General features: G+C 51.8%; 2 long non-coding RNA genes across 2 annotated transcripts, besides 8 other annotated features; one reads left to right on the top strand and one right to left on the bottom strand.

Annotated features, from left to right (window-relative positions):
• Positions 1 to 1,791: 1,791 nt before the first annotated feature.
• On the bottom strand, positions 1,792 to 6,048 carry LOC105371388 (uncharacterized). Its single transcript, XR_001752395.1, has 3 exons — positions 5,797 to 6,048; positions 3,286 to 3,562; positions 1,792 to 2,931 (listed from the first exon to the last, which is right to left on the bottom strand). It is a non-coding gene; the product is annotated as an uncharacterized LOC105371388 (long non-coding RNA).
• Positions 3,332 to 3,461: an enhancer, noted in NCBI's record as "active region_11304". NCBI's record gives its function as "activates an Ori minimal core promoter by ATAC-STARR-seq in GM12878 lymphoblastoid cells {active_cell/tissue: GM12878}" and the evidence as "EXISTENCE:reporter gene assay evidence [ECO:0000049][PMID:35858748]".
• Positions 3,612 to 3,861: an enhancer, noted in NCBI's record as "active region_11303". NCBI's record gives its function as "activates an Ori minimal core promoter by ATAC-STARR-seq in GM12878 lymphoblastoid cells {active_cell/tissue: GM12878}" and the evidence as "EXISTENCE:reporter gene assay evidence [ECO:0000049][PMID:35858748]".
• Positions 4,222 to 4,271: an enhancer, noted in NCBI's record as "active region_11302". NCBI's record gives its function as "activates an Ori minimal core promoter by ATAC-STARR-seq in GM12878 lymphoblastoid cells {active_cell/tissue: GM12878}" and the evidence as "EXISTENCE:reporter gene assay evidence [ECO:0000049][PMID:35858748]".
• Positions 6,440 to 6,489: an enhancer, noted in NCBI's record as "active region_11301". NCBI's record gives its function as "activates an Ori minimal core promoter by ATAC-STARR-seq in GM12878 lymphoblastoid cells {active_cell/tissue: GM12878}" and the evidence as "EXISTENCE:reporter gene assay evidence [ECO:0000049][PMID:35858748]".
• Positions 14,323 to 14,382: a silencer, noted in NCBI's record as "silent region_7830". NCBI's record gives its function as "represses an Ori minimal core promoter by ATAC-STARR-seq in GM12878 lymphoblastoid cells {active_cell/tissue: GM12878}" and the evidence as "EXISTENCE:reporter gene assay evidence [ECO:0000049][PMID:35858748]".
• Positions 15,071 to 15,570: an enhancer, noted in NCBI's record as "H3K4me1 hESC enhancer chr16:85969463-85969962 (GRCh37/hg19 assembly coordinates)". NCBI's record gives its function as "activates a minimal SCP1, AML or CMV promoter by ChIP-STARR-seq in naive and primed H9 embryonic stem cells {active_cell/tissue: H9 hESC(naive and primed)}" and the evidence as "EXISTENCE:reporter gene assay evidence [ECO:0000049][PMID:30033119]".
• LINC02132 (long intergenic non-protein coding RNA 2132) lies at positions 15,253 to 16,150 on the top strand. The gene is made up of 2 exons (XR_001752391.2): positions 15,253 to 15,318; positions 15,512 to 16,150. It is a non-coding gene; the product is annotated as a long intergenic non-protein coding RNA 2132 (long non-coding RNA).
• Positions 15,573 to 15,712: an enhancer, noted in NCBI's record as "active region_11300". NCBI's record gives its function as "activates an Ori minimal core promoter by ATAC-STARR-seq in GM12878 lymphoblastoid cells {active_cell/tissue: GM12878}" and the evidence as "EXISTENCE:reporter gene assay evidence [ECO:0000049][PMID:35858748]".
• Positions 15,723 to 15,822: an enhancer, noted in NCBI's record as "active region_11299". NCBI's record gives its function as "activates an Ori minimal core promoter by ATAC-STARR-seq in GM12878 lymphoblastoid cells {active_cell/tissue: GM12878}" and the evidence as "EXISTENCE:reporter gene assay evidence [ECO:0000049][PMID:35858748]".
• Positions 16,151 to 20,806: the final 4,656 nt, after the last annotated feature.

Here is a 20,806-nt window from a genome sequence, read left to right as displayed (position 1 = left end):
TCCACCTTGCAATGAGGGTGGACGCTCCCCATAGGAACTTCGGGGTGAGAGGGTGCTGGGAAGAGCCCCTGTAGGATTTGGGGTTTGGGTGGGTAGTGGGAAGGCGAAGGTCTAGGGAAGTGGGGCTCAGTAGACCAGAAGCCAAAAGAAAGGGGGCAATTCTCTGAGTGGGTGCCTCAATCACTGTCACCTCTAGAGAGGGGAGACGGGCACCAGCATAAAGCTGAGATTGGTCAAGAAACAGCCATTCTTCATTTTAGTGGGGAAAGGGGGATAATTGGTGTTTGTGGGTGACACCGTGACCTGTCTTTGTCTCACTACTGTGATCTCAGAGTGACCTTCTGTGCAGCTGGTGTTCTGGGAGATGGTTTATGTCAAACCGGAGAATGGCCCAGCCCGGCCAGGGGCTCCAGGACAGTTCCCAGGTGTCGGCGGCTCCTACTTTCCTACTCAAGAGTAATTAGAGGGAACCCTTTTAAAACCATTCTACTATTCCTGCTTTTCACATTGGCCTTCCACACCATGTCTGAAGTTACAGACTCTGGCTGGATATCTGCATTCCACACTCAGGCAGATCACTTGCAGAATTATCCGTGTTTTACAAAGCATTTTCCACATAGCACTAGTTTTGTAAACTTCATGGGAGTAATGGAACAAAGAGGTTCCCTGAACTACTGCATTTGGGAAGCACTTGGTTCTTTGCTGCAGGACTTATCAGAGCCTTTAATATGCTCCTGTGCATTGTGAAACGTCCAGAAAGAAATGGGGTATTTTCAAAGCTTGTTTGGCTACATAACTTTCATTTTTTTGGCTAAGTTGCAAATGGGTCAGTATCCTACGGGACAGAGTTTATAAAATGCTGAAATAAGGGGTCTAAAACAAGGGAGTCTAACTGGTAGGACATGGGTTCCTGAGGGACCCAGGGAGTCCTCATGTGGAGTTCAGATCACAGAGACTCGAACGCATCCTAAATAAGAACACATTCTAAATGAGGAGCTGCTGTGATTAGGGAAACATCATTGGCCAAAGCGTGTTAGAGAAGTCAGCGCAGCATGTGGTAACTATGGAGGTTCCCAGTCCACGGAGAGGGAGGAAAGATCTCACGTGGGCTGACCGGCGCTGCACATCCCTCGGCCTCTGCATGCTTGGCTTTAGCCCTCCTTCTCCACCCTCCAGCTAAGAACTGGCCTCCTCCTAGCTCCTCCACGGAGCACACTCCTGCCTGCTCAGCAGCTTCCTGTGTGCCGTCCCCTCTGACCAGCCAGTCCTACTTCCTCCCTCACCCACAGACGCCCCTCTGCCAGGAAGCCCACCTCCATTCATCAGGCAAAGTCAAGGCCTCTGCTGTGTTTTCCAGCAGACCCTTCTCAGCTGTGATTTGCTAATTCTTCTCTACAATCGATTATTGCAGGGAGTGGGGCAGGGGGATTCCCTGCCCCAGGTGACTGGCAGGGCCGTGTCTGTTTTGCTCTCTGTTGCAACCAGAGCTCCTAGTATTGGACTTGGCATAAAACAGGTGCTCAACAAACATTTGTTGAGTGAATAAATGAATATGAGGTCTTTGCAGAGTATTTTAGTATGGCTTTTGTTTTTTAGAAACAGGGTCTCACTCTATTGCCCAGGCTGGAGTGCAGTGGCACAATCATAGCTCACTATACTCTTGAACTCTTGGGCTCAAGGGATCCTGCCACCTCAGCCTCCCAATTAGCTAGAACTACAGATGCTCGCCACTATGCCCAGCTAATATTTTTTATGTTTACTTTTTTGCCAAGATGGGGGTCTCACTATGATGCCCAGGCTCGTCCCAAACTCCTGGCTTCAAGCAATCGTCTCACCACAGCCTCCTAAAGTTCTGGGATTTCAGGCATGAGCCACTGTGCCTGGCCTATCTTAATATTTTAAAGGTCCCCTAAGACTCAAATGCTGAAGACCACAGGTCAAGAAGATGCATAAAAGTCTTAACATTTACCGGGCATAGTGTTTCACACCTGTAATCCTAGCACTTTGTGGGGCCAAGGCAGGTGGATCACGAGGTCAGGAGTTCGAGACCAGCCTGACCAACATGGTGAAACCCTGTCTCTACTAAAAATACAAAAACTAGCCGGGCGTGGAGGCGGGCACCCGTAATCCCAGCTACTCAGGAGGCTGAGGCAGGAGAATCGCTTGAACCCAGGAGGTGGAGGTTACTGTGAGCCGAGATGTACGCCACTGCACTCCAGCCTGGGCAACAGACTGAGACTCCATCTCAAAGAAAAAGTCTTAACACAAAAAAATATTAATAGGTGCAGAGTGACAGCCAAGGGACGTGAGGGGTTTTTTGTGAGAGGAGAGTGATGAAAACGTTCTAAAATTGACCCTGGTGACAGTTGCACAACTCTGACTATGAAAGGCCATTGAATTGTACAGTTGAGATGGGTCAACTGTATGGCGTGTGAATTCTGTCTCAAAGTTGCCACAGAAAACAGGTGAGTATGGGCAAAACGTTTGGGAGTATTCTTTGTGCGATTCTTACAACTTTCCTGTACATTTCAAATTATTTCCCAATGTGGTTTTTTAAGTGGGTGAATCAGATCTCATCTCAAATCAGGGGGATTTTAGAAATCTTCCCTGCCCTCCCTCACCCGGTGAGCGTTTATTCCGGATTTATTCTGCGCAGTGCTTGTCACGATCATGAGCACTGGACAGGCATTCATTCCCTCGGTCCTCAGTGCCCTCCCAGGAGGTAGGTCCTATGGATTTCCCCACTGTACAGGTGAGGAAACTGAGGCCCACTGAGGGGCATGGCCAGCCTCGAATTACAGTAGAGAAAGCAGGACCCGAAGTCGGGATGTCTCCCCGGAGAGACTGGACCCTTCCCTGGGGAGCCAGCCTGATCCAGGGCCAAATCCAGGCTTCCATGTTGGTTATGGGGTGTGGGTCCAGAGATGAGCCCTGAAAAAAAAAAAGGCAGGATGGTGTTTGTGTGCGTGGTTTTTTTTTCCAAGGGGGTCTAATTCAGTCTCTCGCACATGTCTTGCCCACAGCACCTGGGCCAGCTTCTGGCCGGAGGGGCCTCAGAAACCTCAGCCGCTCATGTTGCAACAGCGTGGCTGCCACACGGCAACGCCGACAGCTGCTCAGGAAGATGCGGCGTCAGGCTGCCCGACACAGGTGGCCAAGAGAGGGACGGACCACCCTAGCCAAGCGCAGTGTGGAGTCCGGCCTCAAGGCCAGGGCGGCGTGACTGCCCCGCTGGGGGACCGTCACCTCCCCGCTCCCAGGTGAGGTGAGATCCTGAAACCGAACCTGCCTTGACCAGTTCCCCCTTCCAACGGCAACGAAACATGGGACTTCCACCAACGATTCCTCTTTGGGAGTCGTCCGTCCCGTAGGGCAGGACGTGGAGGGCTGGATTCAGGAAGTTGCTGGGCGTCTTCAGTTTTCAACTTCACATTTTCACTTTTCTTATCAGAAAGGTGCATGAGTAATACTGTGAGCGCAGCACCTCGCACGGTGGAACTACCTTGAGGTGTGGAGTCCCCGAAACTTCACTCTTCTCTTATGTGAGTGTGAAGGTAGGGATCTGAGATAAAACGAAAGTCAGAATGAAGAGAGCTGAAATAGAAACGAGAAGAGCCAGGGACGGGAGCCAGGGCAGGCCACAGGTGCCGCGCCTCAGCGCGAGACGGGAATGCTCTACACGCGGAGTGCCCTCTCGATGGTCTCACTCGGGGGACAGCACCGTCCCAGAAAGGGTCGCAGTTTCCTGAGCCACCCGGACCTGGCTCCACCCGTGGGCAGCAGCTGCCTGACACGCAAAATCATTTCTCCTCTGTCAGCCTCAGTTTCCTCATCTGTAAAACGGGGCACCAGTAATGCCCACCTCACCAGGTTGCAGAGGGTGAAGTCAGCATGCCCATCAATGGGTATTAGTAATTCTCATAATAACTAGGATTTACTGAACACCTGTTTTCTCTATCAATGAAACAAATATTATGCAACATTGAGGTGTTTCACCACCACACGCTGGGCGTTTTGCTGAGAATGGGCTGGTCATGTCCTTCTTTGCTAGTCAGAGCCATCCCACAAGGCTGTCTTCTTACTCTTATTTCACAGATGAGAAGACTGGCATCATCAGGGCCAAGTCCAGCCCAGAGTGGGTCTAGGTTTGTGAGCTTGCTGCTTAAACAACCTAAATAGGGTCCCTCTTCAGGATAAAAACACAAAATGTGCCGCATGTGCCCTGTAAGGGAGCAGGCAAGAAAGGAGACCTGGAGTTCCAGCTTCATTAGCCTGGTGATCCATCTGCAGCCCTGCCAGGTTCCCCAAGCCTGGGTGATCCCAGCGCCGTGACCTTCACACAAAGAGCAAAGATCTGATGCGTGCAGAGGAGGAAGCTGTTTTCCTGAGGCAGTCAGCAATATGTCACCCTGGGGTCTTGGAGGGGAGCAGGTGTGGACCAGCACAGGGAGGAGGGAGGAGGCCAGCATGGAGGCAGGCAGTGCAACGGAAGGGGGAGGCAGGAGCAGGGCTGAGAGGGAGCCACGCAGAAGGGAGGCGGGAGGAGGCTGACCTGGTGGGTGAGTGCCCCTACGAACCATGGTGCGCTGAGGCCACTGAGGGTGAGAGGTGGGCACTGGCCCCACAAGAGCCAGGTTCTAGGACATTCCCTGTGGCGCTCATGTGGATAATGGAGCACAGCAGGCAGCCTGGAGACCTGGAGGCCAGCTGGGAAGCTGTCATGACTTCATTTTAATTAATTTAAACTTAAATAGCCACGTGGGGCTAGTGGCCACCATATTGGGGATTAGAGAACATTAAGTTGGGGGCTGTGATGTGATCTCCCCGCGTGGCTGAAGATAGCTCTGCCAGAGGTGTAGGAAGCAGACAGGAAGGGTGGCCGAATGTTTGCAGGGAAACCAGTTACCCCACTACGGCAATAACCCAGGTGAGAGATGGTGGTGGCCCAGAGGGAGCAGGGCAGCCAGGCAGCCAGGCAGCATGTGGGTTCCTAACTTCATAGCTGTCCTCACCCGAGATCTAGGAGCCAGGAGGAGGAGGAGCTTTGGGGTGAGGGGAGAGGGTTGCAAGGACGAATTTGGGTTAAGACGTTTTGAGAGTGAGGTGCCTGCAGGCTGTCTGGGCAGAGCAGTTCAGAGGGTATTCCTCAGATGGTTCGAGAATCCATTGTACTGGTGCTAAAGACAAGGACTTGGAAGTTGTCAGCCAAGGGTGGCAGCTACATCGTGGGAGTAGACGTGGTCCCATGAGAAGACCCAGGACACACCAGCACAGCCCAAGGAGATGGCAGAAAGTGACCTGAAATTCCCTCCTGGTGATGCCACCAACACATCTGAGCACGCACAGGCACTCTTGGACTTGGGGGTGCTATCTCTGTTGCTGCTAGCCACCCATCCTCCCCATCCTTATGCACCCCCCACCCACCTGCCCAGTGCCAGCTGGATACCCTGCCTGTTCTCACCTGGCAGCCTTCTCTGGCTACCTGAAACTCCTTTGCTGCGTAGGCAGAAGCCAAAAGTACCAAAGAATTCACGGCCTCTGGGAACAGCCCTTGGATGTGTTCCTTTCACCTTCATAACAGCCCTGAGACACAGGTACTATCAGTATCATCCTGCTGTACAGATGAATAAGGTGGGGCACAGAGAGATGGGATCACTGGCCCACAGTCCCACAGCTTGTGGCTGGCAGAGCCAAGATTCCAGCTAGGCCACCTGTCACCAAGTGGCACTCATAGCTGTTCATGCCTCCTCATAGTTGTACCCAGCTATGCCCAGCATGTGTGCTCATGCTATTCACCTGCCCTGACGTTGGGCTGCTTCCAGCCATCTCCATGGGCCCCGCGGGAGAGGAGCAGCAGCATGTGTTATGCCGTTGGCGCCGGCCCTGCCCCAGGTGCTCTCCGTGCTCTGCGTCCTTGCCAGCCCACGCCAGGGGCTTCTCTCATTCCCGGTCTCCACTGCAGGCCCAGTGCCGGGGCTGCTGCTTCACTGGAGGAAGCTTCTATCTTCACACTCAAGATTTGGTGTTAAAAAATAAAGAAAAATAAAGCTGGGTTCAAAATTAGCACAAGATTCGCTACAAAGAACACAAGACACAATTTCCTGTATGGTTTTTTTCTTCAGTTTTTTTAAGACTTCCAGAAAAGTTTCCACGGCAACACTGAGACCAAAAGGGTAGAAAATGCAAATGTGAGGATCCAACCTTGAACCATCATCTGCCCCCAGCACAGGGCAGCCACAGAGAGATCAGGAGAGGGACAGCAAATTCCTAAAGACCAGAGGCTCCAAATGGGAGATGGGTGAGAATCGTGAGGGGTCACCAAGACAGTGGGTTCCTTTGACCTTGTGCCCTGAGCCTGTAGGTGCTTGGCTCCATACATGGACGGAGGATACATGTGGAGGTGGGGAGGTGATGAATGGGTAGATGAGTGGATGGATGGTTGAGTAGATGGATGGATGGATGATGAATGGGTGGGTGGGTGAATGAATATGAGTGAGTGGGTGAACTTTGTTTCTGAAAACCATATCACTTGACAGCTAACAGAACCAGTGTGAGAGGAAATGCAGCCAAATGCTTATAATTGCAGTTGTGGGACTCACACAGACTCACAGCCACCTTTGAGTCCTGGCTCTGCCCTTGGTGGCCGGGGACCTTTGGACAGGGCTAACCCACAGGATGGACCTGCTGATCCCAGTAGACCACAAAGTGGAGCTAAAGTGTACAACCTAAGAGCACAGGGGACCTGCATTCGACCCAAGAAAGAGATTGTAGTTTTCCAACAGAGTTCTCGGGGGAGGCCAGACTCCAAATAGCTGTTCAGACCCAGACAAATTTGTGGACTAATAGGGAGAGAGGAAACCACTCCACAGAAAAGATCAATGTTTTCACCATCCAAGTCTCTCTGCAATGGAAAAAGCAGCTCTGTGTGCAATAGAGCTCCCCCATCCTTCAAGAATTCAAGCCCAGGTATGACCAGTTGTGGTGGATTAATGTTGGCCACAAGTTCTCTGACACTCAGCCCTTTAAAGGTGGGGGTCTATGCCTCTTTCTTCAATCCAGTGGGCTCTGTGCCTGCTTTGACCAGCAGCATAGGTAGAAGTGATGCTGTGTCCGTTTCTAGGCGTGAGACTTAAGAATCTGCGAGCTGCTTCTTCCTGCCTCCTAGAACATGTTCTCTTGGTGTCCTGAGCCACCATGGAAGAAGTCCATTTATGCTGCTGAAGAGACCACATGGAGAGACCCAAGGCAATGTGGAGACAGAGAGCTGACAGCCCTCCTATCATCCCCATCAGTGAAGCCACCTTGGTCCATCCAGAGCAGGCCATCAACCAGCTGAGTCCCACTGAGGGACCCCCATCAATGCCAGGAAAGCAGAACGCCCAGCCAGCTGAGCCCTGCCTAAACGGCTGACTGCAAAGTTATGAGATAGAATAAAGAGGTTGTCATTTATGCCACTGAGCTTGGGGCAGTTAGTTTTGCAACAATAGAGAACTGACACACTAACTGTTCTGCCTAAAGAAGAGCCATGGACCATATGTGGTCTCTGAGACACTGTGACTCTGAGTCATGGAGCTCCAAAATCAACAAGGGTCAGGCCCTTCTAATTTAACTCTCACTCTGGCTTGATAAAACCCAGATAGATGAGGCTAAGACAGGGGTGTAAGACTAAAAATCCCAAATTAATTGACTTAAAAATTTCATTTCATCCCCACTGAAATGTACTCCTAAATGCCCCCTAAGGGAAGGAAAAATGGAAAAAATTAAAAGACAAGATAATATGAATTCTAATGGTGAGGATTATCCTTCTATAGTGTCCAGGCAACTAATGCCCAAGGCTTCCTCATTCATTCATTTTACTCAACAGACATCTACTGAGCTGAGCACTTCTCATGTTCCAGATGCTTCTAAGACACAGGCTCTAGGGATACAGCAGTAAACACAGACAGACACAGTCTAGTCCTTCTTGAACTTATTGTCTTATAGGGGAAACATGCTAATTAAAAAGAAAAACTTGTTCAGGCGTGGCTCACACCAGCAATCCTGGCAGTTTGGGAGGCCATGGTGGGAGAATCGCTTGAGGCCAGGAGTTCAAGACCAGCCTGGGCAACATAATGAGATCCCATCTCTACAAACATAACAAACAAACAAAAAAACAGGCATGGTGGTGCATACCTGTAGTCCCAGCTACTTGGGAGGCTGTGGCAGGAGGATTGCTTGAGGCCAGGAGTTTGAGGCTGCAGTGAGCTGTGATCACCACTGCACCCCAGCCTGAGTGACACAGAAAAACCCAGTCTCTAAAAAAATAAAAAGAAAAGAAAAGCTCCTGCCAGGTGTGGTGGCTCACGCTTGTAATCCCAGCACTTTGGGAGGCTGAGGCGGGCGGATCATGAGGTCAGGAGTTCGAGACCAGCCTGGCCAATATGGTGAAACTCCGTCTCTACTAAAAATATAAAAATTAGCCTGGTGTGGTGGCACACGCCTGTAGTCCCAGCTACTCAGAAGACTGAGGCAGAAGAATTGATTGAACCCAGGGGGCAGAGGTTGCAGGGGGCAGAGGTTGCAGTGAGCCGAGATTGCACCACTGTACTCCAGCCGGGTGACAGAGCGAGACTCCATCTCAAAAAAAAAAACAAAAAGAAAAGCTCCCACACAGGAGCGTATGCATGCTGAGGTGGCGAGCCCTGTGCATATGCAATGGGGGCAGCCCTAATCTGGAGGGTGGTCAGGAAAGGTTTTCCTAAAGAGGTAGACCCTGCTTCAGGTAGACTCTGAAGGAAACAGGAGTTAGCCAGCACAGGAGGAAAGAGAGTGGATTCCAGGCAGAGGACATGGCACGTGCAAAGCCCCAGGGTAGATGGAAGGGGACATGACATGCTGGAGAAAGTGGAAGAAAGCCAGTGTGCCTGGAGCCAGGACAGCAAGGGGAAACAAGAGAGAGCCAGGAATCAGGGGTTGGGGTGGATGAGCAGGGCCAGCCCACGCAGACCTTTACAGAGCACAAAACCCACGCTCCTCGGCTTTTGAAAAGATGTTCACTTTCTAGCGAACGTCTTGCATAGCTGCTAAATGAAGGGCATCTTGGTTGTGTCAAAACTCCTTGAAGACCAGGGCTTGAAAGGCCACAGAGGCTGCCTCAGCCGCTTCTCTCCTGGGTAGACCAGATGGTCCTCAGAGCACAGTTTCCCAAGGGAGAGAGGCCAGGGCCTGAGCCACTTACTATTCCCTGGCTCTGTTACCTCAGGAAAGTTCTTTAATGGATTTAGTGAGTCTGGGCTTTGGTTTTCTTCCAGAGTGCAGTATGGGAAGGGGGAAGAGAGTAAACTTCCAGTGGAGAACCCAACAGCCAGCCAGGTGGCCAAGGTCAACGTCCACCGTGGTAAGTCACACGGACAGCATGGACCATGGATAGGAAGTGATGAGAACAGCACTTTCATCTGAGATCTTCCCGCAAAAACCGATAACCCCAGTTTAACCATGAGAAAAACATCAGAAAAGCCCAAACTGAGGGATCTTCTACAAAATATTCTACCCGAGCAGTCCTCAAAACCATCAGCGTCATCACAGACAGGCAAAGTCCCAGAAACTGTCAGCCAAGAGGAGCCCACGGAAACCCAATGACTGTCACGTGGAATCCTGGATGGGATCCTGGGACAGAAACAGCCACGAGGGGAAATCTGAGGAAATTGGAATTAAGTGTGGATTTCAGTTAATGATCATGTATCCTTATTGGTTAATTAATTAGAACGAATGCACCATGCTAATGTAAGATGTTAGTAAAAGGGGAAGCTGAAGGCAGGTAGATGGGAACCATTTGTATTATTTCCTCAATTTATCTGTAAAACAGTGCTAAAAAACAAAGTCTATATGCTTTAAAAAATTCGGATACCCGGCCGGGCGCGCTGACTCACGCCTGTAATTCCAGCACTTTGGGAGGCCGAGGCAGGTGGATCACAAGGTCAGGAGATCGAGACCATCCTGGCTAACACGGTGAAACCCCGTCTCTACTAAAAATACAAAAAAATTAGCCGGGCATGGTGGCAGACGCCTGTAGTCCCAGCTACTCAGGAGGCTGAGGTGGGAGAATAGCGTGAACCGGGAAGTGGAGCTTGCAGTGAGCTGAGATTGCGCCACAGCACTCCAGCTTGGGTGACAGAGCAAGACTCCGTCTCAAAAAAAAAAAAAAAAAAAATCAGATACCCAGGCCTCATCTCTAGAGATTCAAATTGCAGCCTGGGTTGGTGCAGGCACTGATCTTTTTTGAAGCTCCCTAATGCGTGGCCAGGGGCAAGTGGCCGAGCTTCACTGTGGACGTGGGTGGTGCGGCCGTAGCAGGAAGGGCTGTGGTTCTGCAGTCGCTCTGGGCTGGGTCCACAACCAGCCCGAGTTAAGCTGCACTGGGCACTTAAGGACGCTGAGTGACCATGAGCCGACGGTGCTGTGGCTGGGGTTCCTACTCTAGGTGGGAAAACTGAGCATGATGCTCTGAGGTCACCGTCAACCACAAGATTCCACGGCTCCAGAAGGAGAAAGCTACCAGATTCTGGACACCTGGATTCTAGCTCAAGCTATGTGTCCTTTAGCTTAGCGACCTTCTGGACTCCAGTGTCCAAATCTCCATAGACAGAGGCCAGGACTGGTTGCTGAGAGCTGTCCTCCCGAAACAGAGCAGTGTGTCAGGCTAATCCACAGCTGCCCTTTGGTGGACGGCTGCCGAATCTTGACCAACGTCAAGGTCAGTGTTGTCCTGTAAGAGCAATAAGTTCTGCAGTGAGCGTAGCGTCGAGGAATGATGGTTACGCGCAGGAGCCCTGGACTTGGACTATGCTGGTGAGTAGCAAGCCGCTTAACTTCTCTGTGCCTCTGCTTCCTCATCTGTAACATGGGAATGACAATAATGATGACCTCACAGCACTGTTTGCAACTAAAGGAGATGAACCAGGCAATGTTCCAAAGACGGTCACTGTTACCCAGGAGACAGGGAGCACGGCTGGACAGAAACTCCATGTTTTACTCATTGATGTGGACCCAGGCTTGGCATGTGGGTGGTTAGCAAACATCCGTGGAATTGTTAAATAATTAACCAAGTATTACAAGACAAAACACTGAGCTGAACGTTCTGTAGTGGAACAAAGCACAGGTAGCTACAAGACACAGGATGGAAGGAAACACTCTGTAGGTCCTAGAACTTGGGAAAGATTTGCCTTGTGGAGTGTGGCAGGCAGAATGATGGTGTCCCATCCTCAAGACCTCCATGTCCTAACCCCGGAACTTATAGACAGGTTAGGTTACACAGCAGGGGGGAATTAAGGTTGCAGATGGAATCAAGGTTGCTAATCAGCTGACCTTAAAAGAGGGAGTTTATCCTGGATTATGTGGGTGGACCCACTGTCATCACAGCGTCCTTATAAGTGGAGAAGAGGCAGAAGAGAGAGAGGTGGGATGTGGGAGGGACTCACCTGGCATCGCTGGCTTTGGAAGTAGGGGGAGGGCCCACAAGCCAAGGAGTGAAGGTGGCTTGTAGAAGGCGGAAGAAGCAAGGAAACAGATTCTCCCCCAGAGCCTCCAGGAAGAACAAAGCCCCCATGTTCATCTGAGCCCACTAGGACTGACATTGCACTTCTGGCCTCCAGCGGTGAAAGAGACTAAATTTGTATTATTCATAAATCTGCGCTTATTTATTACAGCAGCTATGGGAGGCCAATACAATGAGTGTGCAAGAGCCTACAGCGAGGGCCAGAGACATCTGCTCAGCCAGTGACAGGGACGAAAGGTGACAAGGGCTCTAAGCATTTTTTTGGACATAGGGAGAGACTGTTAAACTGTAGTCATCGCTCAACGCTCTTCTCGCTGATTTATTTGCTATTATTTTCAGGCTTTTAATCTTTCAGATGATTGGCCACAAATTTCAGTGTTTAAAAGCAGGTTACCAAGAGAAAAATGCTGAGAGCCCTTGCTCTCAGTCCCCTTCCAACCCGTACACTCTCAGACACTAGATAGGCCATCAAAACAACTGAACAAAGATATCTGGGGGGTGAACTACGGGCCACTTTCATTTACTCAGTCAGTGTCCATCGTTACGCTGTAGGGGCTGTTTGTCACTAATGCGGGCACCCCAGCCTAAGAGCCCCTCTGCTGTTTACAGGATTTCCCCTCCCGTGAGAAGGGAGTAGGACATGCCAGACACTCATTCTCCCAGCCTCCTTTGCAGCTAGAGTGCAGCCACGTGACTGAGGTTCCCCAGGTACCTCCACAGGTGGCGTCAACTCTGTAACCAGTACCCAAGAAGCAAGGGAGCAGGACCTGTTGTCCACCCACCCAACATCCTTCTATGAGGTCCCATGCACCTTAACCACAGTTGGCATTTGCTGTTTACAACAAACACCTCTAACTGATTCAGGGCTGGGACAATGCATACAAGGCCCTGCAATGCTGTCGTCAAAGGAATGTTCTGCAAATGGCCCGCCGGCTGTGGTCATCCCTCTCCCCGGGAGGATTAAGGCTTGGTATTATCATCACCAAATACAATTAACCAGCACAAAAACTATGCAGACCAGTCAAAGGAGAATTAGGAAGACACCCAAGAGCAAACAGCACTGCCCATCCATCAAGGTGCCATTCTCTGTGGGGTGCTGGGTTCTGTGGCAATGCCAGAAATGGCATGATAGGAAAGGTGGCTCACCCTCTCTCACTCTTTCTAGCCCAGTGGCATTCTGAAAGTGCCTTACTTTGCATGTGATACCTCGTTTTCACTCCAGCAACACGGCCAAGTGGGCAAGGCAGGAGAGTCCCATTTTATAGCTGAACAAGTGGAGGCCCAGAGGGGTGGGGCCATTTCTGTAAATGATGGGGCCAGGGCAGGAACAGAAGGCTCTAGAGTCCTCAAGCTTTTCTAATTGGCAAGGAAAGGGGTGGGAAAGAGGTGAGGAAGAGAAGTCCGATAATGTCCCTCAGGATGCCTCGGGCTGCAAGGAGCAGAGTCAGGTTCCTTGACTCCAACTCAAGGGAAGGTCTGCCTCGCACAGAGTCCTAAATCAAGGCAGCCTGGAGCTGGCACTTTAGGCTCTGCCACTCCCGTCTCCACGTGTCAGTGCCATCCTTGGCTGGCAGCAACATGGTGGCCCCATTTCCATCCCATCCTCTGGACACACCAGGTGGCAAGGAAGGAGGGACCTTCCTGGAAGCCCCAGCAGGTGTTTTTCCTCTCAGCTCATTGGCCATTATTCAGTCCCATGCCCCTTCCTGAGCCAATCACTGTCGAGAGGGTGAGGGACCTTAGAGAGGGATAAAGATTCATAGCTGGTAGTGTGGATGGGGACCCCTCCCACTGAACCATACAGAGGAGGACTCGATAGCTGAACAAGATTAGGACTCTATGAGCAAGGAGAAAAGGGAGAATGCACGTCGGAGGTGAAGCAACACTGTTCCCATCAGTGGCCAAGTTCTATGAGAATCCTGGACTGCCACCCGAGCCTGGTCCCTGAGTCTCCGTTTCTTTTTTTTTCTTTTTTTTTTTTTTTGAGACAGGGTCTCCCTCTATCATCCACGCTGGAGTGCAGTGGTGCAATCACAGCTCACTGCAGCCTCAAACTCCAGGGCTCAAGTGATCCTCCTGCCTCAGCCTCCCAAGTAGCTGGAACTACAGGTGCACACCACCACACCTGGCTAATTTTTTTTTTAATTTTTTTGTGAAGATGAGGTCTCCCTAGGTTGCCCAGGCTGGTCTTGAACTCCTGGGCTCAAGTGATCTGCCCACCTTGGCCTCCCAAAGTGCTGGGATTACAGGCATTGAGCCACTGTACCTGGCCTCAGTCTGTTTATCTAGACAGTGGGAACGATGCTCTTGCAAGATGTTGGGAGGGTTAGGTGGCATGGTATGTTCACAGGTTCTCAACAACCTTGAGTTGCCGTCCTAATTAGGAAGATGCTCAGTTGTCACTAGGACATTCCTCCTTTCTTCCTTGTTCACAGAACCCTGATTTTGTGCAGATGTCCAGTCCTCCTCTATAGACTTGAGGGGAAGAGTCCCCATCCTCACACCCAGCTATGAATCCCCATCACTCTCTAAGGTCCCCCATCCCCCTTGACAGTGATTGGCTCAAGAAGGGGCATGAGACAGAATAAACACGTTTATCTTCCCTGTACACCAGATCCTCCACAGAGCCTTTTGATTGCTGGCATAATCTATCAGCCAAAGCGTTAGTGGTGCCTGTGTCTATTTCTTCAAGACCTGGAGCAGGCCATGTGTTGGAAACGTGCTGCCGCTCAGGCCTCTTTGGGTCATGGAACTGGAACTAATTACACTGAAGTGCCTCTTGGTCCCCATTCAGCAAGAGTTACGATCACCAGGAGCCTCTCAAGGTAGTTAGCTCTCGCCTAATGAACGGTTCAAAGTCAGAACATGAGTCAGCATTAGCAGAAGATGGTGATCAGTTCCAGAACATTCCGGTCACTTCAGAATGTGTTGCTCACCCACTCACGCATTCACCCATTTGGTTGTTCATTCGACAACCATCGCTCGAGTGCCTGCTCTGTGCCCCGGGAGTGGACTGGACACGCAGTCAGCATCCACTCTGTTTGAGTTTCTAGGCACAGGCTCTTCTTATGTGCTTGGCATTTTTAAAGCAATCCCATTTGAAATGCAACCGAAATTGTAAGCCTCGTTTAAACTGATTCTTTTCTTCCCACACAACCTAAGACAACGTGTCTGATGATGTCGTTCAGACTTTCCAACTACAAATAACCTTTCGTTCAAGCCCAAGAACATGATGGACGGGAAGGAAAATTTCTTGTGAAACCTCTGCGCTCACCGTGGTTTGAGAGGAAATGTCTTGGCTGTGACAGCATCATGGTCGATTCTCACACCCAGAGAAAGGAAACACCGACTTTAACCTCAAAACGAGGAAGATCATAATAGTGAAAAGAAAAAAAAAATAGACAAAAAACGTCTACCCCAGAAATCCCTAACCGCTGCCCAGCCTGGGAACGTGTTGGGAATTTTTCCAAGGAAAGAGACCTCAAGGACAACCTCAGGATGGCTGAGAGCTTGGGATAACAGAGAGAGAACCCATGAGGCAGCCACGGGAGGAAGGCAGATGCCAGGCAAGACGAGGGTGGCAGAAGCGAGTCAGGAGGAAGTGGCTTTGTGAGCCATCGACCTCACAGAGGGGGAGAAGCAGAAACGTAACCAAGCAAGGTGCAGAGCTATTTTCAGCCTTGGGGTTTTCACCCCAGGGTCCCCAAAGTGCTTGGGGCAGAGTACAGCTCCCCTTTGAGAAAGTCGGTGCTCTGGACTGATGAAAAGGACAAAAGAGAAGCCAGGTGAGAACAAGGAGATTCAGGGGATGCGGGGGTGGCACATGTCCTCAGTGGAGCCTTGGGCTCCGGGCACCCACGCTCTGGGCCTCAGTTTTCTCACCTGCTCTCTGAGGTTCTGTGTGAGATTCCTATGGCGGCTGTAACAAATGACCACAAATTTAGTGGCTTGAAACAACACACATTCATTCTTTTACAGTTTTGAGAAGTCAAAGTGTGGGCAGAACGGTTCCTTTCTGGAGGCTTTAGGGGAGAATCTGTTTCCTCGCTTCTCCAGCCTTTAGAGGCCACCTGCAGTCCCTGGCTCACGGCCATCTTCAAAGCCAGCGGTCGCATCGCCCTGACCTCCGCCTCCATCAACCATCTCCTTGCTGACCCTGACCCTCCTGCCTCCCTCTCACAACGACTCCTGCGATGACGTGGGGCTGTGAAAGGAAAAATCTCTTGGGTCCCTTCAAGCTGGGAACTGCTCAGGGCAAAACTCCCTCCCATTCTATTCAAACTCATCCCTCTGCTCACTGAGATAGATGCATATTCTGATTGCCTCGCTTACCAGAAACTCAAAAGAATGCAACCGGTTGTCTCTAAACTCAAAAGAATGCAACCAGTTGTCTCACCTACCTGTGACCTGGAAACCCCTTTCCTGCTTGGAGCTGTCCCCGTCTTTCTGGATGGAACCAGTGTACTTCTTACATGTATTGATTGATGTCTCATGTCTCCCTAAAATGTATAAAACCAGGCTGTGCCCCGACCACCTTGGGCACATGTCGTCAGGACTTCCCGAGGTCGTGTCACGGATGCGCATCCTTAACTTTGTCGAATAAACCTCATAAAGTGACGGACACGTGTCATTTTTCTCGATTGACAGGGCCAACCCGGATAATCCAGGCTGCTCTCCCCAACTCAAAGTCACATCTGTAATGTCCTTCGTGCCATGAAAGGTCACATAGTCACAGGTTGTTTCCTTGAACTCTCTAAGAGTCTCTGTAATAGGATGACCCTTCTACAAAACCCACTATCAGTTACAGTGGTGGCTAATGTTTATCCAGGGCTTCCTCTCCCCCAGCTGCCGCTCCATGACCCATGTGTTCTACCAGCATCCCCACAAGTTAAATCCTATCCTCATGTTCTGTCCACAGACGGGAAAACGAGGCCTGGGGTGGACACGCCGAATGACTAGTTCACGTTCACATGGCAGCAAAGCGCAAGCTCTCGGCCACATCAATATCCTGCCACCCTGGTGTCAGAGGCAAGAATGGCCTCACCTGGCTGAATCAAAACAGATCCAAGGGTTGAACGTAAAGCTTCTTAGCAACAGGAGCTGTCATCCATTGCTCCTGGATGAGGATGCAAGCTGGCACCCCCACTTTAAAAGACAGCCCGTCAGTTTCTTGCAAAACTAAACACACTCTTCCCATTCGATCCAGCAACCGTGCTCTCAAGTGTTTACCCGAATGAGTTGAAAGCGTATGTCCACACTAAAACCTGCACACAGATGTTTACGGCAGCTTTATTCATGATTGCCAAGTGGCGCAGAGCTTCCTGAGGTGCCACCAGTGAGCTTTGCGATGCCATGTGAGCTGCTGAATTAAGACAAAGTCCAGGAAGGAAAGACCAAGCTCGTCACCGTAGTGGCCCGGCCTGTTTCTCACTGCCCTCGTGGCACGGCGTCCTCCACCCCTCACCATTCCCCTCACACCATGTGCTCTCTGACCTTGGTCCTTCTCACTCTGTCATGCCCACTCCCTCCCTGTCATCTTAGCTCCTCTCAGTTCTTTGAGTCCTGGATCAAACCCTACCTGCCCTCCATCCAAATCCCTCTGTGGCCCCGAGACTGGATAAGGAGCCCTCCCCTGTTTCCTTTTCCTAGACCATGAGCTGGGGAGGGCAAATGCAGGAGCACCCGCTGTGGGCCCCACGTCCCAGCTCTGAACCTGGGTTCCCTGACCCTTTACTGGGTGGCCTGGACACTCAGCATTCCCATATGGGTTCCCAGCCGCAGTCTCTCCTTTCTCTTGCCCTTCAGCCACACACCGCCCGGACATCTCCAGAACACACCCCTGACCCTCTAGCCCCTGCCTTGATGTAGTCATAGGATTTATTGAGAATTCATTGAGAGCCACGTGCGAGTCAGGTGCAGGCACTCACCCAAGAGCCCCACACAAGCACGTGGAGCCACAGAAACTACCAACATCATCCCTGTTTTGCAAATAAGGAAACTGAGGCTCCGGAAAGCCAGGTGACCCATACATGCTCAGCTCACTAGAAAGTGTCAGAGCCTAAGGTCACCCACGTCAGCCTGGTGCCCTCTCATGTCTTACATCTCTGATGGCGTCCCATTGCCGAAGAATAAACCTAACACACAATCCGGCATTCAAGGCCATTCCCCACTGTGGCTCTTACCCAACCTCACCATCACACCCCTCACCGTGCCTGCACAGCACAGCCACCTCCCAGACACAGCATGCCCCGTGGGCCTCGGAGGTCATGCTTGCCTTCCCATCTGACACTCTTTTTTTTTTTTTTTTTTTTTACCTCAAGGCCAAGTTTAAACATGTTTCTGTGATGCATTCCCTCTGGGAAGAGTACGGCTCTGGGATCAGCACTGCCCAGCCCCCTAAACAAGGCTCCCTCATGTAGGGAGCACAGATGCAGCTAACTGTGACTGCAGCTGGATTAGGAGGGGATGGCAGGAACCTCGGTCCAGGCTGGGCAGGGATGGGCCTATGTGGTGAGGAGCCTGGGGCTGGTGTTAGAAACCGCCAGGAAGACCCGGGCGAGCAGCAGGAATCAGCACCAGGCTGAGTGATGGCCGGACTCCCTCATGGAATCCCTTGGAGTCCCATGTGGGACCCGCTGTCATGTCTGAGACTTAGACCTTCTCCTGGTTTCCACCATAGCTTCTATTTACCAAGAGGACGCACACAGAGTAGGCAGGCGGATATTCAAAATACTTAGCTGCAGGCAGCAGCCACTCGAGCAGATGCCAGCTCTGCAGCACGGTGTGGGCCCCCTTTCTGATCCCCGGGAACACCCATGTGTCCACCAGGGAAGGATGAAATGCAGTGGAGAAGCTGGACAGCCTAAAGCGGCACTTCACCAAGAAACAGGCAAGGAGCCCAACCCCACCGGTCATCGGAAAAGTGCAAATTTAAACCAAAATGAGCACCGCTCCGCCCACCAGGATGGCTAAAACATAAACGACTGAAAGTACTGAGTGTTAGTGAGGATACGGAGCCACGGAAACCCTCGTGCTGCCCATTACCGTGTGCACTAGGGCGACCCGTGGGAGACCGGCCCTCTCGATTGACAGGGCCAACCCGGATAATCCAGGCTGCTCTCCCCAACTCAGGATCACATCTGTAATGTCCTTCGTGCCATGAAAGGTCACTTAGTCACAGGTTGTTTCCTTAAACTCTCTAAGAGTATCTGGAAGAGGATGACCTTTCTACGAAACCCAGGTTGTCAGCAGGTCAGCAGGTCGTCACGCTGAATGTGCATGCACCTGTGACTCAGAAAGCCCGCTCTGAAAGAGGTACACCTGTGCACGACCACTCACTGCAGGTCCCACAGTGACAGCCAAAATCTGGAAACCAAGCAGGTGCCCCTCCATGGGAGAGTGGGTCAGTGATAGCACAGTCATACCATAGAATGCAGCGGGGACAGTGAAGGAGCGACTCCAGCTACACGCAGCAGTTGGGGGCTCACCCCGCCTAGGGCTGAGCAAAAGAAATCAGACACATAGGAGCGTGTACTCTCTACGCCTGTTGATATAACACTCAAGATAAGTGTTTAGGGACTAGTTGGCAGTAAAAGTGTAGAGAAAAGCAGGGTGCTTACCCTAGAAGTCAAGATTGGGCTGATGTCAGCAGTCAGGCTGCCTTCCCACCAGCGTCTCCTCTTGGCAGGGGAGAAGTTACGCGTGTTAGGCGCCAGCCCGGCCAAGCGGAAGGTGGGGAGGAGGTGATTCCCCCAGGCCCATTCTGCAGCAGCTGAGGCTCTTTAGCAAGAAAACATCACATTGCGTCTTCCCACCCCATTTGCCAGGTGAGGAAACTGAGGCTCAAGGAGCTGAAGGGACTTGCCTGAAACGGCACAGACACAGCAAAGGCGGGCAGAGCCCCCCCACACACATACCCACTGCCTGCCTCCCGCCTTCCGGTGCTGTTGCCCTTCCCGCTCCCGGCTGGGGCAGGGGGCAGCCATCCCAGAGGGCAGTTGCTGTTGACCTCTAGGCCCTACAGGTTTTCCTGCCTTAGAGGAAGAGAAAGGATCTCAGCTGACATCAGAATCAGGAAATGAAAGGAACCCTTGAAGGAACGACCTTAGGTTTCAGAAAGGCCCAAGTCCCCACCTTCACCCGGGCCTTCGGAAGAGCAGGCTCGCCCTGAGCGAAGCTGCTCCTTGGCTGAGTCTCGTGGCCTTGCCCGGGCTGAGCAGGCACAGCTGTCTGGAATCACTGTTTTCCTAGTGGCTGCACAAAAGCCCCCATTAGCATCTGGAGACCTTCAGCGTAGCCCCATCTGCCACCCTGGGGGCACTGAACACCCCCATCTCCCACCTACCCCAAACCAGTCTCCAAGCCCCAGCCCGAGGTGGTCACCAGCATCCTCCTTATCCATCAGGGACGAGCTGACCCCCCCCACTCTATGGAGCCCTCGTCCCCATCCTCTGAGCCCCTAAAGCCCGTGTCAGGTCCAGCACAGGTCACTGCCTGCCTTAGAAGTGGGAACCGTGTTGACCAGCTCCGGTGGGCAGCCAGCACACGCCCATGTGTCAAGAACCATTTGTGAAACCCGCACTACGTGTTGGAGATGTGACAGTGAGCGAGACAGACACAGGCCCTCCCTCCACAAAGACAGACGGCCACTCCGGCCTTCCTCTAACCCAGCGCCTCTGACATTCGGGGTTGGATCCTTCTAGCTGGGCAGGTGAAGGCCAACCTTTACACTATGGGGTGTCGAGCGGCGTCCCTGGCCTTGACCCGCTAGATGCCAGTAGCACCTGCTTTCCATCATGGCAACCAAAAATGTCTCCAGACATGGCCAGATGTCCCAAAGGCCAAACCACCCCTGGTTGAGAACCACCCACCGGTGGACACAGCTGCACACTTTCCTTAGTGAGGGCAGTAATTAAATGTATAATTACACCTGCTCAACACTTACCACACGCTGCCTCCTCTGGCCCTGGGAGGAAGGAGCTCCTTTACAGATGAGGGAAGGGCCCGGTAGTGCCCTGGGATCTGCTCTGGGACTTTCCCTTGCTCACATTCTAAGGGGCAGAGTGAGGGTCCCAGCTTCAGCCTGCTGCCCCGCTTCCTGGTGGCGATGCGTGGAGAGGTTTGGAAAAGACAGGAGTGTTGCTGACATGTCCAGGCTTTGGGGACCCTCCTTGCCACAAAAATTGAGAAATTCATGAGAGAAGCTTCCTCTGCAAAGGACAGGCCGTAAAAATCAGCGCCTCGTGCAGCACAGAAGAGGCGCACAAAGGCCCT

This window comes from Homo sapiens, chromosome 16 (assembly GCF_000001405.40).
Source record: "Homo sapiens chromosome 16, GRCh38.p14 Primary Assembly".
Classification (NCBI taxonomy): Eukaryota; Metazoa; Chordata; class Mammalia; order Primates; family Hominidae; genus Homo; species Homo sapiens.
The sequence above is the reverse complement of the archived record's forward strand: the minus strand, read 5'-3'. Positions and strand labels throughout refer to the sequence as shown.